General features: G+C 35.6%; 1 long non-coding RNA gene across 1 annotated transcript in view; it reads left to right on the forward strand.

Annotated features, from left to right (window-relative positions):
• LOC105373640 (uncharacterized) overlaps window positions 1–15521 on the forward strand; it is a 58027-nt gene extending 42506 nt beyond the window's left edge. The window contains exon 3 of the long non-coding RNA XR_923371.2: window positions 14912–15521. This is a non-coding gene — a long non-coding RNA (uncharacterized LOC105373640). The remainder of the gene's footprint in view (window positions 1–14911) is intronic.
• The last annotated feature ends 421 nt before the right edge of the window (window positions 15522–15942 follow it).

Raw genomic sequence — 15942 nt, forward strand, 5'->3', positions numbered from 1 at the left:
TATGTATTCTTTGCTGTCTGGTTTCTCTTACTCAAAATTTTATATTTGGAAGTTTATCCATGTTTTCACAAATGTCTGCAGTACTCCTTTTAATTGCATGTAGTAATCCAGATTATGAGCATATTTATAAGTTATCTAGTTTATTCTTGATAGCATTTTTTTCCCAATGTGGGGTTATCATAAATAACACTACTGTCCTTCTTATTCTTATTCTTATGCACGTTCGTTGGAGCACATGTGCACTTATTTCTTCAGGGTATATCCTAGGAGTAAATATGCATATCATGCACACGAACTTTACTAGATAATCCTACAATGTTTCCAAAGTGGCTTTAACAATTTGTATTTCCACCAGCAGTTTAGGAGAGTTCCTGTGGTTTCATGTCCTCACATGATTTCCTTTTTCACAACAAAGTTTGTGAACAGCAAATTGGCTTTCTTTATATTGAAAACAAAACAATACTAAAAAAAAAGTAGGAAAATAAGTCACTTAAGGAAAACAAAAACACGTTATTTCATTGAAATGAATTTAAGAAATGTGACATAATAGCTGCTGGTATTATAGAAAGATAATCACCCTTGCCCCTTTCTTCTTCCCTTAGTGCTGAAGAAACCCAGCGTATCTGATTACCTTCAATACCCCAGGGCAGTAATTATTCCACGTAACAGCACTGAGGCACCCAGAGTGTTGTTATCAATTTCCTCTTAGCACTATAGCTAAACACATTAACTGAGGACTTTGTCAACCATGAGGTCTATAGGGATTAATCTGCCTTTCTCAGTATATAATTGACAGTCGAAATGTTTTTGGAATCTATTTTACATTATTTTCCTCAAGAGTCCAGGAAAAATTTCTTGTTACAGAAGACCAAAAATATAGAGTAGAGGATTTCATTGAATGATAAATGAAACTGAAATCCATAAATGTGTTTCCAAAAGGATTGCTGGAGAAGGTTAAAAAAAATTATATTTTCCGATTATATCTGCATTCTTAGAGTTTAAATGTTTCCCAAACAAATACAAAGACCTGTATAGATATTTTTCCTTTAAAAATGATGATCAGGTGGTGACCTGAAAGCAGAATGTTGAAATGTATTTAAACATATGTATTCCAATATTTTGTTTATATGTCTTTATAATTACTTATTCATTAATTTGTTATTACTATTATTTTTTAAGAGTTGGGGTCTCACTGTGTCACCCAGGCTGGAGTGCAGTGGCACTATCAGAGCTCACTGCAGCCTTGAACTCCTTGGCTCAAGCAATCCTTGCACCTCTCAGTTAATTTTTTTTAATGTTTTTAGAGACAAGGTCTCCCTGTTTTGACCAGGTTGGTCTTGAACTCCTGGCCTTGATAGTGGCGGTAAATCTGTATGTGTCTGTTGCAGCCTCAATTCTTGCCTCCTCAGAAGAAAGAATTCGACTGAGGGGCATCAGGCAGGAGAGACCGAGGAGAGTTTTAGAGCAGGAGTGAAAGTTTATCAAAAAGCTTTAGAGCAGGAACAAAAGGAAGGAAAGTATACTTGGAAGAAGGCCAAGTGGGCAACTTGAAAGGCAAGTGCATGGTTTGACCTTTTGATTTGGGGTTTTATATGTTGGCATACTTTTGGGGTTTTGTGTTCCTTCCCCCCTGATTCTTCTCTTGGCATGGGCTGTCCCCATGTTCAATGGCCTGCTAGTGTTTGGGAGCGGAGCATGCACGGTGTGTTTACTGGAGTTCTAAGCATGCTCACTTGAGGTGTTCTTCCCTTACCAATCTATCATTCCTAGAGGAAGGTCATATACCAGTTAAACTCCACCATTTTGCCTCTTAGTGCACATGCTTGAGCTCACTTACCCAACTCCTGAGATCTTACTGAGAAGCTACTGATCACCAGTTTCAGGTTTTTGCTACTTATAGGAAGACTGCCTTCCTCTGGCTCTGGCTGCAACCTATTACTATTTTAGAGAAACAGAGTAACAGCTGCCTGACCATCACCTGATGGTTGCCAGATATTCCTGGTTGGGAGTGGCCGTCTCCTTTGTCTGAGTAGCTACCTACTGTAACAGCCTCAAGGGATCCTCCTGCCTCAGTCTCAAGAGTAGCTGGGATTATAGGCCATCCTATAATTATAATATGTTATCTTATATTTACTTTGTGCTGTCTAACTAACAAGCCATTTTTCCTATCTTCTTCCAATTTTCTTTTCTCTGAGAATTTTCACTTACACAGACTCTGTTTTCTCCTTAGTTTATCATATATAACTTTGTAATTATGAAAATATTAATAATAGCTACCAATTATTCAGTCTTATCTAGTCACTGACATTTTGCAGAATGTTTGGCATAGATTGTCATTTTTTGATGTAAACTCTAGGAGACAGGCATAATTATTTCCACACTTCAAATGAAGATACAAAGCTCAGAGAAGTCACAGCGACTTGTTCTAGATCACACAGCCAGATGTACAATTACCTCTCTCTGAATCCTAAGACAGCATTTGTTCCACTGCATTCTACTGGCTCCCTGAAATGCCTGTTTTTCTTGGTATTTCTCACTAGGAGAAACATTGGCATTTGGGCTGTGTGATTCTTGCTTATTTGGAAGTGTTCCATGCATTGCAGTGTTTAGCATTAGCACTCCTACCCTACTTCTAACTCTTGCAAGGGACATGGATGGTGGTGAACCTACTCTCCGTGGTTCATCGTGGACTAAGGTGGTCCAATAAGGTCATGGACCTATCATCTCTGGACTCATTTATTTTCCCTATCAGACTGTGAGCCCTTCAGAGGCAATGACTACATATTATGCATCTTGTCCTTTTTGAATGTTTATACACAAAAAAGGAAATGTAATGAACATTTATTGAATGGTTACTGAATATTAATGTTGAAAAGAAAAACAATGTCCAGTGGTGCGATCTTGGCTCACTTGCTTCAGAAGGTGACCTGCAGCTAATTCTGTTTAGCTTTACTCTTTCTGATCACTTCATTCTTTTACGTGCTGTAAATTTTTTTTATCCCTTTAACTCCCTCTTTTCCGTCATCATTTTGGCTGTCATCACTTCCTTTATGCAAGGAATGCTCAAGTTACTAAGGGAAGAAAGGGGTATACAGATAGAAGGAAATAACTTGGAAACAAACATTTAATGAAAAATACTGTAACAATAATATATCTATCTACACACAGAGCCAAATGTGGGAGTTGACTCCCTCATCTGGAATGTATTGAATTATCTGCTGACAGATAGCAGAGAGGAACCCCGTCTTTCTCTGTGTTGTGGAAGAAACAGAGTTATGATGTGTGCCCCTTTGGAATTTACTAGGTGATGTGGTTTGGCTTTGTATCCCGACACAAATCTCATGTTGAATCGTAATCTCCGGTGTTGGAGGTGGGCCTGGGGGAAGGTGATTGGATCATGGGGGTGCTCTCTAATGGTTTAGCACCATCCCCCTAGTGCTGTTCCCCCCCCCCCTTTTTTTCTCTTTTTGAGAGGGAATCTCTGCTCTGTCACCCAGGCTGGAGTCCAGTGGCACAATCACAGCTCACTGCAACCTCCGCCTCTCGGGTTTAAGCAATTCTTCTGCCTCAGTCTCCTGAGTAGCTGGCATTACAGGCCAGTTGGGATTACACCACCAGGCCCAGCTAATTTTAAAACTATTTTTAGTAGAGACAAGCTTTCACCTTGTTGGTCATGCTGGTCTCGAACTCCTGACCTCAGGTGATCCACCTGCCTCGGCCTCCCAAAGTGCTGGGATTACAGGCGTGAGCCACAGCGCCTGGCACCTAGTGCTGTCTCATGATAGAGTTCTCATGAGATCTGGTTACTTAAAAGTGTGTGGGACTTTCCCCTTCTCTCTCTTCCTCCTACTCTGGCCATGTAAGATGTGTCTGCTTTCCCTTCGCCTTCTGCCATGATTGTGTTTCCTGGCGTCTCCCCATCCATGCTTCCTGTACAGCCTGCAGTACTGTGAGCCAGATAAACCTCTATTCTTTATAAATTATGCAGCCTCAGGTAGTTCTTTATAGCAGTGCGAGAATGGACTAATATAGTAGGTTTCAACTAGCTAATCATCGAGGAGCACCCTATGTTAGGATTTCCAGGTTTAGCAAATAAAAATATAGGAATCCCAGTTAAATTTGAATTTCAGATAAAACAATAGGTTTTTTAGCATATATTAAACAAAATTTGAGACATACTTACGTTGTTTTATGTTAGCTATCTAAAAGTCAAATTAAATTTGGCATCCTGTATTTTATCTGGCAATGCCAACTTGAGCTAATCTGGTTAAAAATGAGTTTATTGCTCATTTATTAAAGGCATAGCCAGTTATTACCAACAATAGGTCAGCGCAATTGTAGGTATAAAATGTTTCTCCTTGACTGCTCCAAGACAGGCAGGACTCACAAGTCAGGGTGTGCAAGGCCTCTCTGGAAGTTGCCTGTGTGTTTACTACTGGAGAGGACTAGGTACTACTGCCAGGAGAATTGTCTGTTGCCACTTGCTTCTGAAGCCCAGTCCTATGCTAACCCAGTCCAGCCCAGACCAGTCCCAGCTGCCATCACCTGTTCAAAAAAAAAAAAAAAGTTTGTTTCATTTATTATGCTGCTATTGACTCAGATTTCTTATTATTTGGTTGACATCAGTCTAACCATATTCCAAGCCTGCCCTGGGTCCTGCATCTGCTTGCTTTCTGATTTAATATAATTATAAATTAGAAACCATTTCTGAACTAATTACACCTACCATCTGAGCCCCACACTTATTCACAAGCTGAGCAAGTGTTCACCTGGCTGTCTATGCTACACCTTTATCTCACTGGCCTCAGAACTGTCTGAGTACTCCTCTGTCAACATGACTCAACCAAATGTAATCACAAATGGAGTGGTTTGGAAATTATGATGCGAGTGCATCAGTTATCTATTGACACAATGATGCTGAATAACAACCAACCACAAAATCTCAGTGGCATGCAACATTAACATATCATTTAGCTCATGAGTCTGGGGGGTTCAGCTAATCTAGTCTACTGAGGATCTGGGCTGTGCTTGCTCATGTGTCTGTGGTCTGCTGTGCTTCTGCAAGGCAGAGCTGTTATGTCAGTGGGCTGTGGGCTGAACTAGCACAGTTTGGTTTCACCTGGGAAAAGTGACCTGTCTCCTATTTTTCATCTTTCAATAGGTAGGCCAGGGCACGCTGTTATGGTACCAGCACAGGGCGAGATTGAGCAGAAATGTATGGGCACTTTTCAAGCTTTCCTGAGTCAGACTTGTTAATGTTCCATTGGCTGATGGAAATCACGGTGTCAGTCCAAATTCAAGAAGTGGGAAAATAGACTCTGCCATTTTGCTAAGAGAGTCTTGGAAGAAGATCACGGTGGTAAAAGTTGAGATTGGGTTTGGGGAGTGAGTATCTAGAGGGAAATGAGACTGGAGAATTTGGAAAGGACAGTCCAGGACTTGCCAGCCTTTTTGAAAAAAGAACTACTTAGCAAATCCTTCTTATTTTATAGTCATTTTAGTATATCATAGTAGTTTTGTCACTTATTTCTGAATATTACTTTCTCCAATTGTAACATGAGGGAATTGAATTAAATAAAAACTTAATAACTTTGAGATTGATCCAGCTAACAAATATAGATTTTTTTGGCCAAAATAGCGTTAATTAGTACTCTAAAATGCTTTATGGTAATATCTGTTCTTCAAGTTTCCACAAGTTTGTAATCTTAATCTTTAAACTTGCTGCCTCACACATTTATATTTTCTTCTTCTCTTTTTTTTTAACCTTCTTCACATTTATTTTTTAACTTTTATGTTCAGGGGTACATATGCAGGTTTGTTATATAGGTAAACTGTGTGTCACAGGAGTTTGGTATACAGATTATTTTGTTACCCAGGTAATCAGCATTGTATCCCATAGGTAATTTTTTGATCCTCACCCTCCTCCCCTCCTCCACCCTGAAGTAGGCCATGGTGTCTGCTGTTCCCTTCTCCATGTTCATGGGTACTCAATGTTTATAAGTGAGAATGTGAGGTATTTGGTCTTCTGTTCCTGGGTTAGTTTGCTTAGTTTAATGACCTTTATATTTTCTATGTAGCTCTTAAGGTATTTGAATTGGCAGGTCCACAGTTAGGATATTTTAAAATTTTCTTTCAGTTCTGTGTTTCTCATCATCAGAGAAGCATGCATATAAATTTGGGAGGCATTTATTGGAGAGGTAAAACAGCATAAGTGAAAAAATATTTTACATAATCCCTATGAAAATATCAGTGGATCAAGAACAATTTCAGGCTGGCAACAGAACAACTAAGTTGCTTAATTAAGGGAGGCAACATTATTGCGGCCAAGATGACAATGGATTCTTGTCTATTTACCTGTCCCAGGAGAACAAAATTCTGATAATTGAGAAGAATGTAAGTGAATGAGGCCTGTGGAAATTAAAACTAACTCCAACTGAAAGCACTATAGACCCAGGGTTAGGAAATGTTCTTTACCTTTTCTTTTAAATGTAATACTTCTCTTTTAATTTAAATCTAACTCCTTGATTTTCTTAAAAGTTCTTTTTTGTAGTCTCTATTAGTCTGTTTTTACACTGCTATCAAGATACTACTCAATACTGGATAATTTATAAACAAATGAGGTTTAATTTACTCACAGTTCTGCATGTCTGGGGAGGCCTCAGGAGACTTACAATCATGGTGGAAGGGGAAGCAGGCACCTTCTTCACAAGGTGGCAGGAGAGAGAAGTGTGTGAAGGAGAGACTGCCAAACACTTATAAAACCATCAGCTCCTGTGAGAACTCAGTCATTGTCAGAAGAACAGCATGGGGAAAACTGACCTCATGATCCAATCACCTCTCTCCCTCGACATGTGGGGATTACAAGTCCCTCCCTCAACACGTGGAGATTACAATTTGAGATGAGATTTGGGTGGGGACACAGAGTGGAACCATATCATAGTCACTTTGAAATATATGCCATCTTGCCTTTGAAAGAGGAACAATTTGTGTGCAAAGATGAAGTAAGTATCCTTGCCCTCTCAAATTATACTCTTCAAAACTGAGAACGTATGTTTTAGGTATAGCAGACTTCAGAGAATTATCTTGGGGTGTATGCTAGAGGCACATGGGTTGAAATTTATAAAAGATGCAAATTTGCATGTCTGTGTTTTCTCAAATGGACAAGGAAATTTCTCGCCAATTTTGGCTTTACAAATTGATTCTCCTACAATGGAGTATCTACATTTGTTGTATAAAATGAATGAAAAAAAATCAGGAAAGTGTTTCATCCCAGAGGATTTCAGTTTACAGCTCAGTCAGAATTGTAGTCATCCCTTGGTATCTGTGGGGTTTTTGTTCCAGGACCTCCCACAGATACAAAAAATCTTTATATATAGAATGGCACAGTATTTGGATATGACCTATGCCCACATCCCCCTGTATGCTTTAAACCATCTTGAAATTACTTATAATATCTAATACAGACCAGGCACAGAGGTTCATGTCTGTAATCCCAGCACTTTGGGAGGCTGAGGCAGGAGGATCACTTGAGCCCAGGAGTTCGAGGTTAGAGTGAGCCATGATATCACCACTGCACTCCAGCCTGGATGACAGCAACCCTGTCTCTAAAACCAATGAAAAAACCTGGTACAATGCAAATGCTAAGTAAATAGTGGTTATACTGTATTGTTTAGGGGATAATGAAAGAAAAAAAATTCTGTACATGTTAAGCACAGACATAACGTTTAAAAAATATTTTTGCTCTGCAGTTAGTTAAATCCATGGAGGCAGAACCCATGGATATGGAAGGCTGACTCTATATCATTTAAAGTGCAGGTTAGATTACACGTTTATATTTTGCTATTTCTGGAAGATTTTAGGTCCACTTGACTTTCTATTGGCAAAATGGAAAGACATGGGATGAAGGGGAACATTGTGGAAATCACATTTTGAGAATCAGGAAGGAGCAATGAGAAAGTAGATTATTTCTTCACCCATAAAAGTTAACTGCAGTCATTGAGAAATAAATTGAAAAAAATGGCTTTAGCTGATAATTCCCCTTTGGGAACTAGAGCAAGTAAGCAGATCCTATCAAAGGTAGGACCAAGACATTAGGCAGGGGCACTTGGGGCCAATCAACTTGCTAGTTGTTGGAGTTATGCTGTATGGGTGAAGTAGCTCCAATCCAGCAAAATTACTCTTTATTTTATTGTTATTGAGACGGAGTCTCGCTCTGTTGCACAGGCTGGATTGCAGTGGTATGATCTGGGCTCACTGCAACCTCTGCCTCCCGGGTTCAAGAAATTCTCTGCCTCAACCTCCCGAGTAGCTGGAATTACAGGCGCCCACCACCACACCCAGCTAATTTTTGTATTTTTAGTAGAGACAAGGTTTCACCGTCTTGGCCAGGCTGGTCTTGAACTCCTGAACTCATGATCCACCCACCTCGGCCTCCCAAAGTTCTGGGATTACAGGCATGAGCCAATGTACCTGGCATCTTTATTTTTTAAATTCACTTTTGTTTATTCATTTTAACATTGCCAAAATAATTATTAGCTTAATATCTGTGTAATCAACATATAATAGAAACACAATAAATATTTTTGAATGAAAGTGTAAAACATTGATTGTAGAAAATACAGAGACAAAAAAATTAACCCATCACTGTTAATATTTTGGTTTTAAAAAGGGTCATACTATACATAATGTTTGCTAATCTTTTTTTTCCCATAAATCTGTTTCCATGCCACCAAACGTGCTTGCCAAAACTGTTATTTATCCACTGAATAGTAATTGCATAGTTTCTAGAAAATTATTTGTAGATTGCCTATAAAAGTCTCTAGGTGACTCACCTATTTATTTTAGTCACTGTATTTTAATTTACATTTTCAAAGTTCAATTAGTTTATTCTGATTATGCAAAGAATATTTGCCTATTAAAATTACAGATATACGTAATAAAAATGTAGTATTTTCTCAATTATAAGATAATATCAAATGAAACTTACACCAACATTTTATGACTTTTTATTTTTTATTAGAGATGGAGTCTCAATATGTTGCCCAGGCTGGTCTCGAACTCCTGCCTCAAGTGATTCTCCCTCCTCAACCTCCAAAGGTGTTGGGATTACAGGTTTAAGCCACTGTGCAAAGTCCTTAATAATATTTCTTAGAGAAAAATATTTTATTAAATGTGCCTGTCAATTGTAGGACACAACCTGATTTTAAAATGAATGAAAAAACACTTTTCAGAATAAAGGATGTACAGTATTAGAGATAACTATTGTGATTGTGTTTGAAGGATGCTAAAAGTGCCAAATTGTCTCACTCCCCACTGCAGGCTTGTGAGGGAGGTGTGGGGCTGTAGTTATTATTCATATTTTACAGCTAAAGAGACCCATACTAAGAGGTATTAAATAACTTGTTCAAGTTTCTTCAATAGGTAGTAAAAGCAAAATCCAAACCTATACCAATCTGAGGTGAGAAAATATATTTTTAAAAATTGTGATGAGATATATATAACATATATTTTCAATTTGTAAAGGTATATTATATATAACATATGTTAGTATGTTATATTAACATGTTAGTATAATATTGTATAAAATATGTTATACATAATACATGAAAAAATTTGTCATATATCATATAATTATGTATATTATTATAAAATAATTTGTATTATGCATTATTTTATGATACATAACAAATATATTATTATGTATAATAATATGTGATATATGATAAAATGTATGGTAAAGTAAATACATCTTACATAATATATACTATGTAATGTATATAACAAATAAGTAATATATAAATATACAACAAATTTTGCCATTTTAATAAAAGTGTACATTCACACCATTGTGCAAACATCACCACTATTTCTTGAAATTTTTAATGACCTTACACAGAAACTCTTCAACCATTAAGCAGTAACATCCCATTCTCTCCTCTCTTTGCCCTTGGTAATTGCTAATATACTTTCTTTCTCTGTCTCTTTGCTCATTCTAGATCCTTTATATAAGTGAAATTTTTCAGTATTTGTTCTTTTGTGTCTGGCTTATTTTGCTTTGCATACTGTTTTCAAGTTTTGTCCATATTGTAGCATATAACAAGACTTAATTCCGTTTTACAGCTGAATAATATTCCATGGTCCAGGCATTAATTTTCCGTTAGTCTGTTGACAGATGCTTGAGTTATTTCCACCTTTTGTATATTGTGAGTAATGCTGCTATGAACACATCTTTTTGAGTACTTGCTTTTAATTATTTTGGGTGTATTCTTAGGTGTGAAATATCTGGATGATATAATAATTATATGTTTAGCTTTTGGAGAAACCACTCAAATGTTTTCTTCAGTGGCTACATAATTTTTTATATATCCACCAGCAATGTAGAGGTTTCCAATTTTTTTATATCCTTACCAACATTTGTTATTTTTCAATTAAAAAAATTATAGCCAGGCTAGTGAGTGTAAAGTGGTTTCTCATAGTGATTTTGATATGGATCTTCCTAATGATTAATGATGTTGGGAATCTTTTCATGTGTTTATTGGCCATTAGTATATCTTTTCTGGAAAGCTATCTATTCAAGTATTTTGCTCATTTTTATCAAATTGTATCTTTGTTGTTAAATTTTTGAGTTCTTTATACACTCTGGCTAGTAAACTCTTATCAGATATATGTTTGTCAAATACTTTCTCCAATTTTGTAGGTTGTCTTTTTAATATCTTGATAGTGTCCTTTGATGTGTCAAATGTTAATATTGATGAAGTTTAATTTATTTTTTTATTTTGTTGCCTGTGCTTTTGGTGTCATGTCTAAGAACTCATTGCTAAATCCCAAATTATGAAGATTTACCAGTATATTTTCTTCTAAGAATTTTATGGTTTTAACTCTTACATTTAGTCATTAATCTATTTTGAGTTCTTTTTCTTAATATGGTGTGAGATAGGGGTCCAACCTCATTCTTCTGCCTGTGAAAATTTAGTTGTCCAAGCAGCATTTGTTGAATAGACTATTTCCCCACTGAATGGACTTGGCACCCTTGTTGAAAAATCAATTGGTTAGAGATGTCTACTGTAGCTTTGTAGAAAGTTTTGAAATCAAGTGGGATTCCTCCAATTTTGTTCTTATTTTTCAAGATTGTGTTGACTATTCGAGACCCCTTGAAATTCCATATGAATTTGAGGTTTGGCTTTTCCAGTTCTGCAAAATGGCTTAAAATTTTTATAGGGGTTGAATTAATTTGTAGCTCACTCTGCATAGTATTGTCATCTTAACAATACTAAGTCACCCAATTCATAAACATGAGATGTCTTTCAATTTATTTAGATCTTCTTTAAATTCTTTAAGCAATATTTTGTTGTTTTCAGTGTATAAGTCTTTCACATTTTTGGTAAAAATTCTTTTTAGGTATTTTATTATTTTAGATGTTATAGTGCATGGAAATGCTTTTTTAAATTTCCTTTTTGATTGTTCTTTGCTGGTGTACAGAAACATTAACTGATTTTTGTGTCTTTATCTTGTACCTTGCAACTTGCTGAATTTAGTAACTCTAGTAACTTTTATTCTTTGAGATTTTCTATATGTGGGATTCTATCATCTGTAAATAAAGATACTTTTGCTTCTTTTCAAATTTAAGTGCTTTTGTGTTTTCAAAGAATTTATTACTACTACTTTTCAAGAAAATAAAATTCAACCCTAATTTTATTACTCAGGAAGAGATTAATTTTCGACAATTGACGGATAACTTTCTAGATTCATTCATCTACTATTCATTCCCTCACTCATCATTTTATACATACACACACACATATATGAACACACACACACACAGATACATAAAATGCTCTAAAATTTTCCTGATAAGTCAATTTTAGAAATTTATATATTTTTAGAAAATTATCTATTTCATTTATTATTGCAATTATTTTGACACAATATAATTTTATTTTATGGATACATTCAAGGAATTACCTGTTCAATTTAGTGTTTTAATGCCTTATTTTTTATTAGTAAAATATTACTAATATATTTTTTAATAAAAATACTAAAAATTCTATCTTTTGTTATTTTCTTCTTCCTACCTACTTGTTTATCTACCATTTTTTTTCCAGAATTTCGTTACAAATTTTAACATTTATACTTTATTTAAATATAGTTTAAGGGCTTTGCTTGTCTGATTACAATTTTAATTATGTTTCATGTGTACTTTTCTCATTGTAGGTACATGTTCTTAACCTGTAATTGCAGTTTTACATTCTATTTTGACTCATGAATAATTTAGGGTGTTTAATTACTTCTGATGATCTTTGTATTTGTAAATGGAGATGGAGGATCTGGACTGTTGTTTGTGGTAATTGGTAGATTTGTTTCTACTCTCTTTTGCTATAATTTAGTTAATTATAGCCATGTTCAGTTTTTTCTTTTTTATACAGTCAACCAATCAAAAGCCTCCCTGACCTATTGAGGTGGCATTTCCTTCCTACCCTTAATTCACGTCTAACATTTCCTATTTTCATTATGCTCTAAGGTTTTTTTCTATCTCAGCCTCCACTTGAAGTCCCCAGGGCACGCTGCTACCACCAATCAGCTTCCATTTCCTGCCTGGCAGTTTTTATGAACTTTGTAGCCTTTGTTTGTTTGTTTGTTTTAACAATGCAGCCAGTGCAACTGTTACAGGGTGGAGAGAAGGCAGGAGGCTACACACTTCCAGTCCCACATTGCATCACCCACGAGTTATAGTTATTCCTCTTGTCAGCACAATCGTGGGTCTCAGAATTAGGAAACATATGATGGTAAGGTAAAACAGAACTTCCTTTTTTTTTGTCAGTCATCCCCATCTTTTGAAGGGAAACTGAGGCATGCAACAGACTGAAGCATGTGCTAGTCTATTGCAATCTTGTCATATAAGCACTATTGTTATATTTTCCATTAGACTTCTGTGGAGTTTTCTGACTGTCTTATATACTTAAATATTAGAGAAAATTTCCCACTTCTTGGAAATTTGAAGGTATTTAGTGAGCATTTTCAAGAGACTATATAAAGAAAACATTGGCTAGATGATATTTTTGAACTGGAAGATACTTCAGAGAGCTTCTTAAATGCACATCTCAAGTTCTGACAACAAACATGCTGTCTATGTGGTAGATGCACTTACAAAAATCTAAGTAGCACAAAATAATTGAAGCAGGTTTAACAATGCTCTTGACACTCAGTGCCAATGACAGCCCTCATCAAAATAATCTATAACTCTTAGAAAAAATAGATAGAAGGATATAATTAATTCATGGCAAAATTAGAGTATTAAAATAAATAATGGTTTCTTGGAGATAAGATACATATGTATGAGCTTTAACCAAGTTTAACCAAGTTTAAGAGAAATCTCATTTTTATAAATTTAAAATTAGAGATTGATTTTCTCTATAGGAATAATTAAAAATTAATTAAAGATTTTTATCAGGATCTTTAAAAGGTTAACACCATTATAAGATTTCAAATACAATATATTTTCAGAAAGCTGACCTAATCACAGATTTTCTGAAAAATATAGCAGATTACATTTTTCCAAAATGGCCACAACACTATTTCTTATCCCTTTTACATCTCTTAGAATATAATTTTTACACTCTTACCATAGAAAGGTAGGGATCTATGATTTTTTTACCCTTTTATTAGGCTGGACTCCTGACAATGGCAGTAGTGATGCCATGTGACATCTAAGACTTGTTTATAAAAGACAATCCTCTTGAGTTGGTTACTCTAGAAACTCAGCAACCATGCTATAAAGAAGGCATTCTGCTATGTGGAGGGGAGGCATGGAAGTGTTCCAGCCAACAGCCCCAGTTGTACTAGTCAACAGCCCATATCAACCATCAGATATACTGTGAGGGAGCTCTCAGTCTTTGCCCCAAATGACACCATGAAAGTAGAAGCAAACTTTCTTCCCTCAGCTCTGCTCATATTATTGTGGATTGCAAATCAAAATAGTTATTGTTGGATTATGTTGCTAAATTTTAGGGAGAAGGGTTGTTATGCATCAATAAATAACTGGAATACCATCTATCCTATGCTGCGCATTATAACCTTAATATGGTGTTATGGATATATCCAATTTGTACGTCAAACCTATAAAATACATTTTTAAAAAGTAGCGTCTAAAATATCTGATTCAGCTTTTCTAAATATTGATTGATGATTATGTTTATCAGCTGGCACGAACCAAAAAGTACATTGAGCAACTTACAAACAAACTTTAGATCTTAAGTGAAAATGAAACATAATAAAACCACTTCTCCTGAAAGGGTATGTGTTAGTCTGTTTTGTGTTGCTAAAAAGGAGTACCTGAGACTAGGTACTTTATTTTAAAAAAGAGGTTTATTTTGGTCAGTATTCTGCAGGCTGTACAAGCATGGCATCAGTGTCTGCTTCTGGTGAGGGCTTCAGAAAGACTATAATCATGGCAGAAGATGAAAATAGAGCAGGTGCATAACATGGGAAAGGGGGCACGAGAAAGCAGGGTAGGTGCTAGGCTCTTTTAAACACCCAGCTCTCATAGTAACTCATTACCATAGGGAGGGCACCCAGCCATTCATGAGAGACCTGCCCCCGTGACCCAAGCACCTCCCACAGGGCTCTACCTTCAACATTGGGGATCACGTTTCAACACGAGGTTTGAAGGGGACAAATATCCAAACTATATCAGTATATTATAGAGCAAAATAGTCAGATTTCGGATTCTGCCAATATTGTAATAGATCAACTTACTGAGAAGAACTAGAAAAAAAAATAAAAATATGAAAAAGCATTTATCTTAAGGACACATCAGACAGAAGTCAAGAAAGTGAGTTATTGAGTTGTCAAGGTCTTTGAGAAATAGAATGCCTGAAGAAGTAATCTAAAATTTGGTGTTCTTTTTTTCTTCCAGAAAATTATTGATTTAAAGGATGCAGATGAGAACCTGAAGAGCTGACTAAAAAGTAATGACTGAAAAGCTGAGATACTGAGCATAGCTTCCAAATGTCTCATGGGGCTATAGAGAAAAACCCTGTGTTCATGGCCCACTGTGAAATAAGAATGCTAGGAAACCTCCAGGCTTTTAGTTAGGACTCCTGAAACATGATAGTAAGGAATGTGAATATAAACATAGGAGAAAACCAAAAATATGCCAGACCTCACAAAGAATGAAGCCTGAATTTGAATTAGCTCAGTGGTTGATTGAATTAGGTCATATTCCTTCTTTAAACTGCCTCATTGGAATAAAAAGTAAATCCTTTCTGGAGGAAAATAACATCACCGAGTTCCTTAAATTACTTGTATATGTTCCCAGACTTTGTGTATTCAATCTAAAATACTCAGGTACATAAAAAGGTGAAAGTTAACAAACAAAAGAATACAACGAAGAGGATCCAGATATTAGAACTATCAATCACATCCTTTAAATAAGTATAAATAGTATGTTTAAGAAGTGCCAATCTGAAAGACTTAAGTAGATAACTGAAAATTATTCAAAACAAACAACAAAAGAATGGAAAAGAAAAAATGATAAATGCAATTAGATAATAGGTTTCCTCAACATCTTACTGAACAAAGAAAAAAAGATAAATAGTGTATCATAAAATAAATCAGAAGAAAATATCTATAGTGAAATACAAAAAAATGGGATAGAAAAAGATAGAAAACAGAATGAGTCATGTGGAATATATGAAAGTAAAAAAAGTACGATGCATATATTGTATTCTCAGAAAGATGAGAGAGAGAGCAAAGGGAAAAAAGACAATATTTAAAGAAACAATGGATGCACATATTCTGAAAGTGATATAAGACATGAAATCACAGATGTAAAAAGCCACAATTAATCCAAAGAAAATATGTAGAAATGAAAGCACATCTTGCTATTCAATGTAAAATTGTTGAAAACCAAAAGAAAAGAGAATATGTTGATAAAAAGAAAAGTCT

Source organism: Homo sapiens, chromosome 2 (genome assembly GCF_000001405.40).
Source record: "Homo sapiens chromosome 2, GRCh38.p14 Primary Assembly".
NCBI classification, from domain to species: domain Eukaryota; kingdom Metazoa; phylum Chordata; class Mammalia; order Primates; family Hominidae; genus Homo; species Homo sapiens.